The 15,492-nt window shown below is 37.2% G+C and overlaps 1 protein-coding gene across 56 annotated transcripts in view, besides 1 other annotated feature; it reads left to right on the top strand.

Annotated features, from left to right (window-relative positions):
* ESRRG (estrogen related receptor gamma) overlaps positions 1 to 15,492 on the top strand; it is a 634,457-nt gene that overhangs the window by 473,316 nt on the left and 145,649 nt on the right. For 54 of the 56 annotated variants that reach the window (XM_017000625.2, XM_047449371.1, XM_017000622.2 and 51 more), the window contains one exon: positions 13,298 to 13,414. The exons of the other annotated variants lie outside the window; for them this stretch is intronic. In XM_017000625.2, coding sequence (XP_016856114.1) covers positions 13,298 to 13,414 — 117 coding nt within the window. The remainder of the gene's footprint in view (positions 1 to 13,297; positions 13,415 to 15,492) is intronic. 56 annotated transcript variants of the gene reach the window in all.
* Positions 4,843 to 5,012: an enhancer, noted in NCBI's record as "experimental_4347 CRE fragment used in MPRA reporter constructs". NCBI's record gives its function as "activates a minimal promoter by MPRAs in K562 erythroleukemia cells, with activity observed for both the introgressed and non-introgressed 1:216832802 variant alleles {active_cell/tissue: K562}" and the evidence as "EXISTENCE:reporter gene assay evidence [ECO:0000049][PMID:34662402]".

Here is a 15,492-nt window from a genome sequence, read left to right as displayed (position 1 = left end):
TGCTTTACATTAATTATCTCATTTCTTTAATCATCCCAATGAAGTAGGCACTTCTATCATGATTATATTATCTTCTATTATAGATGTGGAACTTGAGGCACAGAGAAGTAATTGCCCAAAGAACAACTGGGTCCCCGAAATCTTGAACCCAGAGCCTGTCCTCTTAACCCCTTCATTACACTGCCTTGTATATTTTAAAAGCTTTTAAAAGATTGAATGATTTTAGATTGTATTTTTCTTGAGAGAATTTTAATCCATGGGCAAAATCATTTAAGTTATTAAAATAAAAATGAGGAATTAAGAATATGCCAAATGTTATGATTAGATAATATTCAAGGTTTTTAGAAAGGAGACAGTAAGAACTAAGTCTTAAAAATACCTAAACGCTTTGCAATTCATTTTTAGAAATCCCTTAAATGTGAAGCTTGAGAGCGCAACTCTTCAGTGCCACCACCATTTCCATTTCCTGTGTCAGTTCTCTGGATTTTTATCATCTGACATTCCTTTCTCCACCCAATTTTTGTTTGTTAGTCTTAAACTGATCCTAAAAATCTGTCGCCACTGATGACACTTCTGTATTATTTAATTATTTATTTTAGGAAGAAAGAGGCTTATTTCTCTCCTGTTTTGATGTGAGAATAATTGTCCATTTGCATAAACTTTGTGACCACTCCAGAAGGCAGCTCAGAATCAGTCCCTTTTTGTTGTTGTTGTTGTTGTTGCTCTTGGTCTCTTTTTTTTGTTTTTCTTATGATGAATGATAGAAAGAGAAAAATTTTTTTAATCTATTTTTAACAAAAAGTTGCTGTATTATTTGGAATTAAATCTCATTTTATCTTGGTTTGAGCAGACTTAAAAAAAGGGCATCTCTGATAATACTAGAAAGAATACTACTGAGAGATTATTTAGTTCAAGGACATCTTTGTTAATTTAGAATGTAGAGCTGAAAATATGAATTTACCTTTAGAATGAATCTGAATACATATCCCAAATCTACATTCTGATATCCATTTTCTTTTCAGTGCATACTATTTACAGTTTCCATTTGAGGACGATCAGAGATAAGCACAAAAATCTTCAAAGGAAGGAATGTAGCCCAATGTGTTGTCCTCAAGTGTACTTTTTTTCCCCTGCTTTTGCCTCCAGAGCATCTTCACTACTTCCAAAGTACCTCCTGCTTTTGGAAAAACCTCACTGTGCCCCAGAGCTTTCGCCTATGTTTTATATGGAAAACAATTTCAAATTTTGTGATACTTAAAGTAAAAGTTTTCCAACTCATTCTTCCATCTGTTCTTCTCAGTTATTATCAATTTACAAAGATTTCTTTAAAAAGTTTCTGTACCTAACTTGGGGGAAACTACCTTACAGAGTCGTGAGCAAGAAAGGAAATAATGGATAATAGACTGTAAAGTATTTTTGTCGTTGCAGCCTTTTGTCCATATGGTTTAGACAAGAGATGGCTAAACCAAGGCCTGCGGGCCAAATCCATTTTGCTAAAGAAAGTTTTATTGGAACATGGCCACACCTATTCTAGTATGGTCTGTGGCTGCTTTTGTGCTACAGCAGCTGAGTTAAGGAGTCACAGCAGAGACTGAATGACCTGCAAAGACAAAAATATGTACAATCTGGCCCTTTCAAAAAAGCTTGCCAACCAAACCCCTGCTCTTCTGTGGAAGACTTAGAGTTAAACAAATATCCCACAGTGGAGGAGGCATTTTCATCCTATGTCCCTTGGACAATCATCAAACAGGAACCCCCCCACTCTCCCTGCTAAGTTTTCCTCTATACTTTTCTTTCTTACTCTTCCTGGGGGATGCGAGGCACTTATCTGAAATCCCTAACATAGAAGACAGTTCAGGTATACAGATTTTATTTTAAACTTCAGGTACAGACTACATGCCAGGAGCTTCCATTGTTTTCTGGGCTTTCCTCGCCTTTCTCTCAATCCAGCCAGCAGTGCTATCTGAGTTCCCTGACCCTTGGGGTAATTACTGTTTTTTGAATGTTTTACCTTCTTTTATGACTGAGTCCATGGCATACTCTTTGGTTGGTTTGTTTGCTTTTGCTTCTCACGAAGTGCCTTTTGACTCAGACATCAGTTCTTTGTCTTTTGGCTGACAAGCACAAGGCCAGAAGAAATTCTCTGGCTAGCACTTCCTTACTTCTGTGCTGAGAACCATTACCTGGGCACTTCTTGAGTCCCTCTTAGCTCTTTCTCCTGCATTCCTTCCCTGAGTACAGTAATGATGTTGTAATTATTGCTAATATTATAATCAATACTCACTCCCTGTCAGGAACTCTGCTAAGCATCTTAAATACATGATCTTACTTAATGTTAATAGCAACCCCATAATGTATCAATTATTATTACCCATCCACATGTCATTCATAAAGAAGGTAACTCCAAATTTAAGAGCTGCTCCAAAGTCACACGGAAAATGGTAGAACAAGGCAGCCCAATTTGACTCCAGTATGTTAGCTCGTAATCTATATGTTATACTGCCTCCTACAGCTTACACACAGATCAATTACCATTACTTATGTCAAGGAGTTCCCCAAATCAGTATTAATTTTAGAGGATGCAGATATTTGTTGAATATATGAACTTGATCTTAAAAGCAAACTCTAATTCCATTTTTTCCTCTCTGACAAACTTTGGGCACATTGATAGCATCCAAGAACAGAAGTACTTAGGGATAGTATTAGAAAGGGTTATACTTGTTTAAGGTAGAAGGGAAATCTCAAGAAGTAAAATTTCTATTTAAGAATCAACTGCTTTTATCATATAGGGTATCATCCAAATGCCCCTAACTGGTCATATGGACTTGTACCGGTCTGCAAAAGTCACCATAAAATGTACACATTGAAACTGTTTCTATCCAAAGATAGTGAATGCATTAGATGTAATTAGCATTGCTTTCTTTTCCAAGAATATTTTATTAACAAGGCTTTTGTTGTTGTTGCATGTTTTGAAAGACAGATAAGCAGACTTGCATCAAGGTTGTTTAAAATTCACAGGTAGAAGAATAACATGTAAAAATTGATGTTGGATAGAGAGCACAGCAAATTTGGAGGTTATAGTCAGCTCAGACATTATATATTTCTTGTGGCAGTGGTCACCTTTAAGCTCTTTTATAAAGACTTCTGTGACATGATCTGTGTACTATAAGAGCTTAAAAACTAAGAAGAAGAGACTGTACACATCATGTAGGATATGCATTTTACACTGTAAAAAACAGTTGCCTTTTACAAGAAGACATCATTATATCAGAACTAAAAACATTGAATTTCTTTAGTCCTTGGATGAGAGACATTTATATTCTCCATCATTTTCACCAATGTATTTTTATTATACACTTACCAGTCCTTTTTAAATGTATTTCAGAACACACCCTCATGATTATGGATTACTTTTTTTTTCCCATCAGGAACAAGAACATTATTTTGGGATTGTTAAAATGCATTGTGTACAACCTGACACCTGTTGCTTTGGTGACATGCTCTGTTTGGTTTCTGTGGAATTAAACCAGCCACCAACCATACTGGTACAGAGACAAGTTAAGGGATTTCTTTTTGAGGTGTTGAGAGATTCCGTTCTCTAAAAGCAACCCTATCCTATCCCACAGCTGCCCTTACACCATAAGTCTGACAACAGCAAAAGACAATGCCAAGATCCACCCTGAACCTATCACTCTCAGGCTCCTATGTCAGGCATCAAAATTTCCTTTCTGACTGGCAACAATAGCAACAGCAACAGCTACACAAAGTGCTCTTTCAGAAGATGGAATGTTCATTTTTATTTATATTCTAAACAACATTCAATTAATTACTTTTAAAAGATTAGAGTTAGGCAGCATGCCTCATATTTAAGAGCACAGACTTTGGATCCAGATTGCCTGGGTTCAAATCCTGGCTCTAGTGCTTGTTAGCTATATGATTCTGGGTATGTTACCTTATTCTCTCTCTGCCTTAAATCTCTAATCACAGAATGGTAGTTCATAATGTAAAGCACATCAAAGAGTACCTGTGAGTCTTAGTGTTTGTTATTCTCCTGTTCTTAGGTATTGATATCTAAGTATTTGTGGATGCATTTAAAGGCCATTGAACTGGATGTTGGGATATCTCAGTTTTAGTCTCATTTCTGCAGTTAACTAGCCCATATTCTTATAAAGAGGGTGGAGCAATCATAGGTTCTAGTGATAATAGATAAGTCCTTACATATTTACCCCTTTTATGGTCTTCTATATAAAACAAGGGGGCTGAAGCAACTGGAATTTAGAATCTCTTTGAAATCAAATATCCTATAAGTCTGTGTTATTTTATGCCAAATAATATAGTACTAGTGAATTGCTAACACTTTTATTCTAAATTTTTAATGAATAATTTGAAGCTAAACACTAAAATGGGGGAATGAATAACAGACTCACTAAAAATTAAGTTGACAAATGAATGTTTCCTATGGGTCATTGACTTGACCTGACACTCTCTTGGACACAGGGGATTCTGAAAGGAGTAAGACGCTGCCCTCAAAGAATATACAGTTGGGACAGGAAGGGGGCAATTCCACAGATACATATAATAAAGTGTGTTAAGTGCTAAGAGAGGGACTCACCTGAAAGGTAAGTACGGGATGAACTAGTTACATCCACAAAGACCCCTAACTCAGTCTTGGGAGCCCTGGGATCATCTCACTGAAGAAATGATAGAAGCAGCACATAGAGAGGAGCAATAGGAAAGGATGCTGCTTTCTAGGAACTTCAGGTAATGCCATGTGGGTTTCAGACAAGGGGGTGAGCTTGAGATGGGGTAGAAGTCGACCTGGGACTGTGGCAAGAGATAAGGCTGGGATAAGATTTTTGAAGAGCTTTGCAAATGTTTTGTCCTCTGTTCTAATCAGATCATACCCAGCGATAGGCACTGTGTGTGCTCCAAGGTAGAGACAGGAAGTGTTCATGAGATGTGGTTGATGCCTCACAAACTCACTTCTCAGACATTTCGGTACTTTTAAGAACAACTATCTTCCTTTCCTTCTCAATATCTGTAAAACATAGCTAAATATTCTGCCTAGAAGTGTTGCAAGGACAAAATCTTTCAGTGTTTCTGAGTGAATGGCATATTCATTTTCACATCCTTGTATAAATCTGAGGAAGGTGGTTTTATTTTATAATATTTGCAAACTGGAGAGTAAAGCCTTAGGATTCAAGGTAAATAACAATAAATGGGATGTTAAGACAGTTCTCTCCTTTTTCCTCAGAAAAGGGACCAAAACTGTATGTATATGATCTTAATATCTTCATTTCACATAATTCTTACAAAGTTATAAAGCAGATATGATTATTCCTCTTTTGTACTTTAGCAGACTGAGGGTAACAAAGGCAACTAGTTCAAGTTCACACAGCCAATAACATGGTAGAGCTGGAACTTGAACCTAGGTTTGCATTTTCTCTACTTTTCTTTTCTTTTCTTTATTTCTCTTCTCTTCTCTTCTCTTCTCTTCTCTTCTCTTCTCTTCTCTTCTCTTCTCTTCTCTTCTCTTCTTTTACTTTCTTTTTTGGAGACAGAGTCTTGCTTTCACACCCAGGCTGGGCTGCAGTGGCACGATTTCAGCTCACTCCAACCTCCGCCTTCTGGGTTCAAGTGATTCTCCTGCCTCAGCCTCCTGAGTAGCTGGGATTACAGGCGCACACAACCATGCCTGGCTATTTTTTTTTTTTTTTTTTGTATTTTTAGTAGAGATGGGGTTTCGCCATGTTGGCCAGGCTGGTTTCGAACTCCTGACCTCAGGTGATCCACCTGCCTCGGCCTTCCAAAGTGCTGGGATTACAGCATGAGGCACAGTGCCTGGCCTCTTTCTTTTCTCCTCCCCTCCTATCACACATTCCTCCTCAGACATTTTTCTCAACTGTATGCAAAGTAATATGCTAAAGATTGACATAGAATGGACATACAAAAATTTTGTCCTAAAATGAACATGCACAATGCCTAGTGTTTAGTTGATGGTTGTAGAATTAAAGTGATAAAGGAATGCCCATGTTTACAAAGTTAGGGGAAAAGTTAGGGGAACCTGAGGGAAGATGTAGTTTTTTTAAAACTGGAAAAAAATCAAGGCTAAGTAATTTGTCCTCATTTTATAGCATTTTTAAAAGCTAAGCATTTTTCATTCAATACAGTGGAGGAATAGAATCTTATTGTTAGAAATTTTGCACAGGGAGGTGGCCAGTACTGGCACAGACTGCAGCCTTGGTGACTCTCCCAAACACAGGACACTGTAGGATGAAACCAGAGTGTGTGATCTCCAGTCACTAGACATTGCTGAGGGTTTAAAAGCCTGCCTGCTTGTGAATATCCTTCCGGTCTTTTTTCCTTAAGGGCAAAGCATCATCCATTCCTATTTGGAAGTGAGGCTTGAGTTTCACCTTGAAAATGCAGCAATTTGCACCGCTATGCTGTATGCCTCTTATATACTACATTTATGATTGTCAGAATTTAATCCTATAGAATGCTAAAGAACCAACCTGCAAAAGGTCTTGTCTATACCCTCCTCTCCCCCACCTCATTTTTTATGGGGTAGAGAGACAGTGCAGAGGCAAAGAGCATGAGACTTGTGCACACTCCTGTGTATGAAATTGCTTTGATAAGAGCCAACTCTAACTATTATCCTGATGTGATGCTCCTCTCCTCCCACTTCAGTATGCCACAACCTCACCTGGCAGGTGGTCTGGGGTCCCATTAGTAGAGTGATAGTACCCATTCCTTATAGTATTTTTGGAAATCCTCTTTTAGAGCCTGAGACAGAGTCTCACAATAGCTTCAGTGATGGCAAATCATTGACCTTTAAGGGTAGACTTAAAATTTAGTAATGGACAAAAATCATCGGGCTTCATGTCAAAATGCAAAGGGCAATACGTTTGGGTGAAAATGAGGTATAATATAGGGCCTCCCAAACCCTGTTTATACCTTGTAAAGTGGCTCTGGTGGCAGTTCTAAAGGAAGCACCAAAAAGTATTTGGTGGAATCCCTTGAGAACAGATGTAGTGTTCCTACACAACTTATTTAAAGTCGAACTGTGGACGCCTTCTTTGAAAAACAAATAACTCCCTTAACTTACATGTGCATTGATGTAATTATGACTTTTTAAAAGTTACAGATATAGAATAAATTACTATTCCATAATATGAATCTCAGCTATAGATAGTATTATTTTCTCTTTCAGGTGGAAATGAGCACAGAATAGCTAGAAACGAAGCATTGAAAATAAGAAAGAAAAACAAAGAAAAAAAGGAAAGTTAGATCACTGTAAAAATGGAAAAACCTTTGCCACTATACAATAAAGACAGAGTTTTCTTTCTTTCTTTCTTGTTTATGTTTTAGGGCCTTTAAAACAAAAATACTACAGATTATTGCCTGCATGATTCCAATGCTCTGTAATTGTGTACTGAGGCAAATCCCATTATTTTTAAATCACTTAATGTTGAAAAGCAACTGGATAAACCCCACTTGGAGTGCCCTGTGGGTCATTGCAAGCTATTTAGTTCTGTTAATAAAATTAAAACAATTGGGAGAAATATACAGATGCTTTCAAATTGGCTTTACAATTATGATGTCTGTATGTATGAAAAAGAGGACAAGTCTTAGGAACTACATAAATCCAAATGCATCATTACCATGTGGGAGTGATGTTATTCAGGAATAAAGATTTGACATATATTTTTATTTTGAGATGCCATGCTAATTTACATCATTCAGCCCTTTCACTGCCAAACTGTAAAAGTCCATTAAGTGACTGAAAGGAATATACAAATTATCCACTGGCGCTCCAGGCTGGAGTTTTACATACACCCTGTTATTCTATCCGCCAGCTAGCTGCAAGATTCTATTAAGCAGTAAGTGAGAAAATTATATTGCCTGCAAACTAATTGCACAAAAGACTCTGAAATAAGTAATCAGAGCCCGGGACTTTTTGAAAAGCCGCCAGGAGATATTATAAATTGCTCTATCTTTCTTGTCAGCCTGGTTTAAAAACCGAGAGCTTCCATGTTGATTTGGTTCCCTCTGCAGCAGAGCACACTTCCCTAGCTATTGACAAAACTGGGAAAATTCCAGTTGTGTCATCAGTAGCTGCCCAATTCAGTCCCTGGTGCCATCTAACAAATGTGTCCCAGAAAATAGCAAGCTATAATCCAAGAAAACTCCGTGTCTGAAATGAAAATCCTATGCTGTGAACAATAACTTCTGCATCCTCCTGAGTGAATATCCAGTGTTCACATTCCAGGTGCCCATAGTTGCTATTGGAAATATTTTCGTCTAGTTTCCACTTTTAGAGAATGGAAGGAAAACAAGTGCCCCATAGAGATCATATGGTCTACTGGGAGTCATGTCTTTGAACCATTACCAAAATAGACGTAACATTGTTACCCAGGTGCTTGGGGCAGCACATTTTTAGGATAAAATGCTTTCTTTATTGAATAGAAAAAGCACCAGGGAAGGTTTTTCAAGGGCACAATCTCTGTAGACTCTAACATGGATCAAAGACTTTGTTGGGTGGGTGATCATAGCCAACAACAATGAACTAAGTAACTCAATGGGAGGGCCTGGAAATTAGAGAGGTTTTCCTCCAGCAAATAAAGCAAATAAGTTATTTAGAATGATGTTGACTTGTTTTTCAAGATATAAACCAGAGTCACTTAGTGAAATCAAGGTTATTATCCGTATGTGTCAAGGCAACTTTATTGAAAGAAAATATTTGTGAAAGAGACCCCGTTTATCAGAAACAATTTCTATACACTTCAGCTGAAACTATATCATTTGTGAAGATGCTAGGACCACTGATTTCCATCCATTCATGGTGAAATTTTTATACATATGTTGTATTTGCTGTCGCTCTGGGAAGAGTCCTTTACCCCAGTGTAGTCATTTCTTTACTTTTCATGTCATAGTTCAAGCATTTGCCCCTATTTGGAGAATTTGCTGATCTTCCTAAGCATAATTCCTGTGTTTGTGGGAATGTATGTACTTGCCAGTACGCCAGTACTGCATCCTGAACCATGACACCACCCACTAAAATGTATTGTTTATTTACACGTCTTGTCTCCTCTCAGTGGACTCTTTAATATCAGGAACTACCTCTCTCTAATCCAAACCAGCCGTAATACAAAACTCCTGGCTCATTGATTAGCACTGAGGATTCAACAAGGAATAACACAGAGGTTCTACTTTAAGACTTCATTCTAACACACTAGGAAAACCTCCCCTGCTTTTACATTTCTCCTTATCATTGAAGAATTACAGAATGTAATGGATAGAAAGGAGACCAGAGTCCTTTAAATGTGATCTAAAACTCTCATATCATTATTTGACAGATTCCCTTCTGCCTTTTGAAGAGATTTAAAATCTTTACGTAATTATTCCTAGATGAGTCATTCATAGATTTAGCTACTATTATTGAATCAATCCTAAATATTTTCTCCAATGTAGCTCCAATTATAAAGTAAGATAAAAATTATGTAACTCATTTAGCACCATCTATCTGTATTATTTTGTTTTCCTTTTATTCTTATCCTATTCATATCAGTATGGATTTTTATTTCCTGTACATATAATTTCCTTTATGATTTCCTCTTTTATTCACACTTTACTCCTCAGAAGCTTTTGTATTTTTTTCATAATCTTTCCCCTTTTGCCACACTTTTTTTCCATTTTTGTCAAAGCTACTGTTGACGATTTCAAAAAATTAACTAGATTTTTTTTTTTTTTTTTTGAAACAGAGTTTCGCTCTTATTGCCCAGGCTGGAGTGCAATGGCACGATCTCAGCTCACTGCAGCCTCCTTCTCCTGGGTTCAAGCAATTCTCCTGCCTCAGCCTCCCACGCAGCTGGGATTACAGGCATGCACCACCACACCTGGCTAATTTTGTATTTTTAGTAGAGATGGGGTTTCACCATGTTGATCAGGCTCGTCTTGAGCTTCTGACCTCAAGTGAGTGATCCACCCTCCTTGGCCTCCCAAAGTGCTGGATTACAGGTGTGAGCCATCGCACCTGGCTTTTTCTTCTATTTTTAAAGTTATTTGTGGAATGATTTTCCTACTGTTCTTAACATTGCTTCCTAATGGGACATGCAGCTCACTTGATCCTGTGACACTGCATTATAACACCATAATTGATATTCATAATAATGACCCTGAGATAAGAAAATTCTAAGTTATTATAAGTATATTCTTTTACTTATATATTACTTTTTGGTGGATTTTTTTTTTTTGGAGGGTGGGGATGAAGTCTTGCTCTGTTGCCCAGGCTGGAGTGCAGTGGCATGATCTTGGCTCACTGAAACCTCCGCCTTCTGGGTTCAAGCAATTCTCCCACCTCGACCTTCCAAGAGGCTGGGACTAAAGGTTCACACCACTATGCCTGGCTTATTTTTCTACTTTTTTTTTTTTTGGTAGAGATGGGGTTTTGCCATGTTAGCCAAGCTGGTCTTGAACTCCTGACCTCAAGTGATTCACCTGCCTCGGCCTCCCAAAGTGTTGGAATTACAGGCGTGAACCACTGCACCTGGCTTGGATGGTTTTTATACTGCATTAGAAATGTCCATTGTCCTCTAGTGTCTTACCATCCAATGGGTAATATGTGTATGAAAGGTATAACAAAATATTATCTGTCTGGATATGATGAGAGTACCTGAAAAAATATGAAAACCAAGAAATCGTTTTCTGCTGGGATAGTCAGAGAAGTTTTCATGAAAGATTGGGATGGAGTTGGAGTTGAACAAGGAGGCTTGGAAATAATTTTAAGAAGAAAAAGTGGCAAAGATAGATAATTCTCAGAGGAAAGTCTGAAGGACACTTAGCAAAAACTGAATAAATCAAATTGGCTGCCTCAAAAAGTTCATGTCAGGTAATAATAGCAATATTGCTGGAAAAGTAAATGAAAGGCTGGGAGAAGACCCTGTTTGTAAGCCTTATAGTTTATATTTCATTCAGGAAGGCAAATAATTCTATTGATTTTTTAAAATCAGCATAATGACGTGATCAAAGCAGTCCTAGGGAAAGGAAGATGACAGCGGTATGCCACATGGATTAGAGTGGGTCAGGACGGAGGCAAAAAGCCCAGGGAGGGGATAACTGCCATAGTCCAGGTGTGAGCTCACACATGCCTGATGTGCATTCTTGTCAGAAGTTTGTTGATGTGAAGGATGGGGATACAGTTTTCAAAGAGGAAGTGGAACAGGTTTTAAAAGAATGATGATTATGTTTGTGGCAGTGGATCATCCTGGTAGAAGTTTTTAGCACTGGGTTAAAGGTGCGTAGGACTAGCACTCATGCCTTGATAAGGGAAGTGATGAAAGTGTTACTTCATACTGACTTTTCAGGCAGAAAAAAGGAAAAGAATGCTGTTTGGTAAACTTTTTTTTTTCTTTCTTTCTGATCCTTTTAAGCAGTCACTGTTCAGTCCTTCCTAAGACAGCAAAGGCCTGTTTCTTTTTAAGTAAGTATAGGGGGAGCCGAACAGGGTGGAAGGATCTAGTAGTAGAATACTAATTAACCCTTAGAAAATTACTAGCAACACTCTTTTGATGCAAAATAAATATTCAGAGATGGTTGAAGAAACTCTGCAGTGAAGAGTGGTTCATCTAAAGTTCAGATTATAAATCCTTTTATTCTTAGCTGTGACCCGGCCACCCTGGTTTCTTTGACTTATCCTTGGTTTTCTAAGAGTATAGCATCAGTAATATCTCCAAGGAAGGTGATGGTATATACTTCTGTTGATGCAATGAATATTACTCTTATTATTTAACCTCCTGTTAAAAAGTTGTTGCTTTTATTATTATAAATGCCCTGAATTAGAATGCTAATTTAGGCAATTCTGATAGGCTATCTCAAACTATAATGTGTTTTTTTCAAGTCATGCATACTTAACCAGTTTTCAGTAGTTAGAAGTGGTTAGGTATTACTTCTTGTTGAATTAGCAGTTGCTGAGTAGTTGAGTCTTTGTGCTACCCTGCAATCCACTAATGTGATATTTAATGAGGAGACGTCAGTCTGAAGAAAGGTAGTCAATATAAATCAGTGTTTACAAAGTGTGATTAACTCTGAAATATTTCATCAATGCTGTGGTCCCAGGCAGACTCTATGCTAATTACTAGAATCTGCGCATGTTTCAGGGGACTTGGACGGACCCTGAGTTTTGCAAACATGGAGCAGCAAAATTGCAATTATGCTCGGACCGTCTCTGATGAGAATTTATGCATTTGGTGTGATGACCTCCCCCTTCCCAAGAGGGCAATAAACAGAATGCATTTTCATTAAGATACTAATGCACTTAATCACAAGGGGAAAGGGTTAGGAAGTAACGAAAGACCTTCAAGCACTATGTGACAGAGCTGATTGGGGAGAAAAGCTTTATTTTAAAGGCAGCTTCTTTACAAAGCTGTAGGCAGCCCCAGAGCACATCCCACACACTGCCATTGGTACTAATTGAAAAAAAAATTTAGTTTGGATCTTCTTCTGGTTTCTTAGTTGCCATTTTAAATATGTAGGTACTACCATAAATGATACAAAGTCTAATCTTAAAAATATATAATTTCATAGCAGTTTATTCTTTGTTCTAACATCAGGGAACTTCAGTGTTTGGAATTAATTATGCAAATTATGTAACACACATCATGATGAGGATGATAATGATGATGACCATCATCTTCATTATCATCACCATGATCAGTAAGCATTTACCAAGCACAGAATTGTGTTGTAAGGCTCTGGTAAGTGCTAAAGCAACAACTATGTAATTTCTGTCCCTACCCTCTAGGAGCTTACTATAACATGCCATATTTGTTTACATATCATTTTCCACAGTGAAGTTTATACTGTTCAGTGTCAGAAAGACAATAAGCCTGATGCACCAAAGTATTAGGAATCAGAATAAATCCAGGATTGACAATCCAAGAATCTGGTTTTGATATTTGTGTTTTCATGAACATAATCTATTTTGAAATTTCTTTTGGATCATAAGACTCTGGAAGACTCTTACTTTGCATGGGTGGACTCAGCATAATGTTTTGAAGGCTAATTTTAAACTTCATCTTTTGAAGCATTTCACCATGTTTGTTCTCCTTGCCCCATGTATCTTTTGTGATTATAGCAGAGCATCCAGCTTGATGATATTTATGACATTTCTCTTGAGTCTCATGTGACATTTTTTGGGGTGGGAGAGTAAGAATAATAGAGTTGACATTGCCTTTGGGAAGCTAATGTTTCCTGGATCTTGTAAATATGACAACTTTTCTTCAAACTTGTGTTTTAGGCAATATAGAATACAGCTGCCCTGCCACGAATGAATGTGAAATCACAAAGCGCAGACGTAAATCCTGCCAGGCTTGCCGCTTCATGAAGTGTTTAAAAGTGGGCATGCTGAAAGAAGGTAAGGCTCTTTGCTAGTGCCCCTGAGGTTTTGATTTTGCTGTGGGGATGGGAGGCAAAAAATTCCACCAGTTTTAGAGAAACCAGAAAAAGATGAGGTAACAGTAAGTACCCTGACTCTGATGGCAGAATACTCCTTTATACCTGGACTTTCTGATAACTTATGGCTAACCACTTCACATTGACAGGAAGGGACAAGGTAGGAGGATCTGATGTACAGCGAAACACACCAGGTATGCTTGACCGTAGTGCTTTTATCTTCTTTACAATTTGCAGAAAGCAAAGGATGAAGACAAACCAAGAGGCTACTGTCATTGAATTTTTGGTTTTCTTCTCATTACTAGGTTTGCAGAGAGATTTTTTTTTTTTAATTAATCTTGGGTTTAAAGCACTCTTTGTTCTTTCCCAACCTTATCTTTTAGACTTTATTTTCTATTACAAAGAACTTAAAATATGATATTAAAATTGCTTTCTATTTGCTTTCAGTTGGGGATAACAACAACAAACATAAAATAGCAACAGTGACATGTGTTCTGTGCTAAACAAATTGCTTAAGCTCACACAGTTTATAATTGGTGGAGCCAGGAACTGAACCTATTGATTCTAGATGCCACTCAACTATTCCACACATGTCAAAGGTCCTGAAATATTTGTATATTTCATCATTTCTAGTGAAATTCACATGTTAGCTTGGAGATGGATAAAAAGTTTTCTTTACTTCGTGAGGCCTGTGATTCAGTTTTTGTTCTTTAATGCATTGCTATACTTGTGTGTGTGTTTGTAAATGTGAATTTTACATGCTGCATTTAGAATTTTCTGTTTCCCTTTCTTCAGAAAATTCACCAGAGTTTGAAATAAACACAGTTTTATAAAGTAACACAATGAAAAGATGGTAATTAATGTTTGACAGAAAATTAGATTCATTAAATATTTAAATGTGTAACTTCTGTTGCATCATAGAACTATGCTTTGTTTCTGGGGCTTGTCCTATTATTATATTTTGTTCTTACTGGAGATCCCCTATTTTTTAACTTTTAAATCCAAATAGGCTCACATATTAATTCACCAAGAGTGAACCAGAGTGTCAATGAGTGTGTGCCATCACGTGGTGTCATAATTTTTCCTGGTTTGTTCTTCTTTCAAGATTTTTACTGTGAACAATATTATAGGAAGATGAGTGGATCAGATTATGTTTGGATATATGGAATTCACATTGTATTTCTCTGACTTTCACTTATCAAATAGGAACAAAGAAGACACTCTCAAATTCTTCTAGTCTTCAACTTTGCTCTTCCCTTGAGAAAGAGCTATACACAAAGAAGTGTATAATGTTATAATAAAGTTTTATAAAAAGATGACCAAGATACATTACTAAGTAAATATATATATAAGAACAAGTTTATTAATAGTATGATTCATTATATATGTATGTGTGTGTATGTATGAGAGTGTGTGTGTGTGTATATGTATATATATATGTATATAGAGAGAGATGGAAAGGAGAATGGATGGCAGACATCATACACAGTGATGGATATACATGTGTATACATGGAGAAGTGGAAGGAAGGAAGGATACCTAAAGATTGGTGACAGTGTCACATTGGTGAATGAAAATGAGGATGGGGGTACTTTTTATGGTATAGCCTTTGGCCCTTTTAGGATTTTTCAGAGTTAACATGTTTTACGTTTGTAATCCTTTTGCTGAATATGTACTAAGGTCTTCCCATGTTCCAGGCACTATTCCAGGCTCCAGTGATACAACAGTGAACAAGACAGATAAGGTGGTTCTTGCTAAAGAAAACTTATGTGAAATTGCCAGAAGGACAATTTTGATAAAGGAAAACATATAATTAAGACAACAACAACCCAACCCACATGACAGAGTTTTTCTTTCAGTTAGGATGATGGTGGTAGCTTACGTTTGTGAAGTGGAGCTCTTTATCTTAGCCATTGCCTTAACCCCTATAGCAGAGTAACAAACAAAACATATTTCTGAAAGTTAATGATCAGTGATTGACAGTCAATTTCTGGCCTTAATTATATTTATGTTGCCACTTAGTTTTGTTGTAGAGACTCA

The sequence above is a fragment of the Homo sapiens genome, chromosome 1 (genome assembly GCF_000001405.40).
Source record: "Homo sapiens chromosome 1, GRCh38.p14 Primary Assembly".
In the NCBI taxonomy this organism is placed as follows: Eukaryota; Metazoa; Chordata; class Mammalia; order Primates; family Hominidae; genus Homo; species Homo sapiens.
The sequence above is the reverse complement of the archived record's forward strand: the minus strand, read 5'-3'. Positions and strand labels throughout refer to the sequence as shown.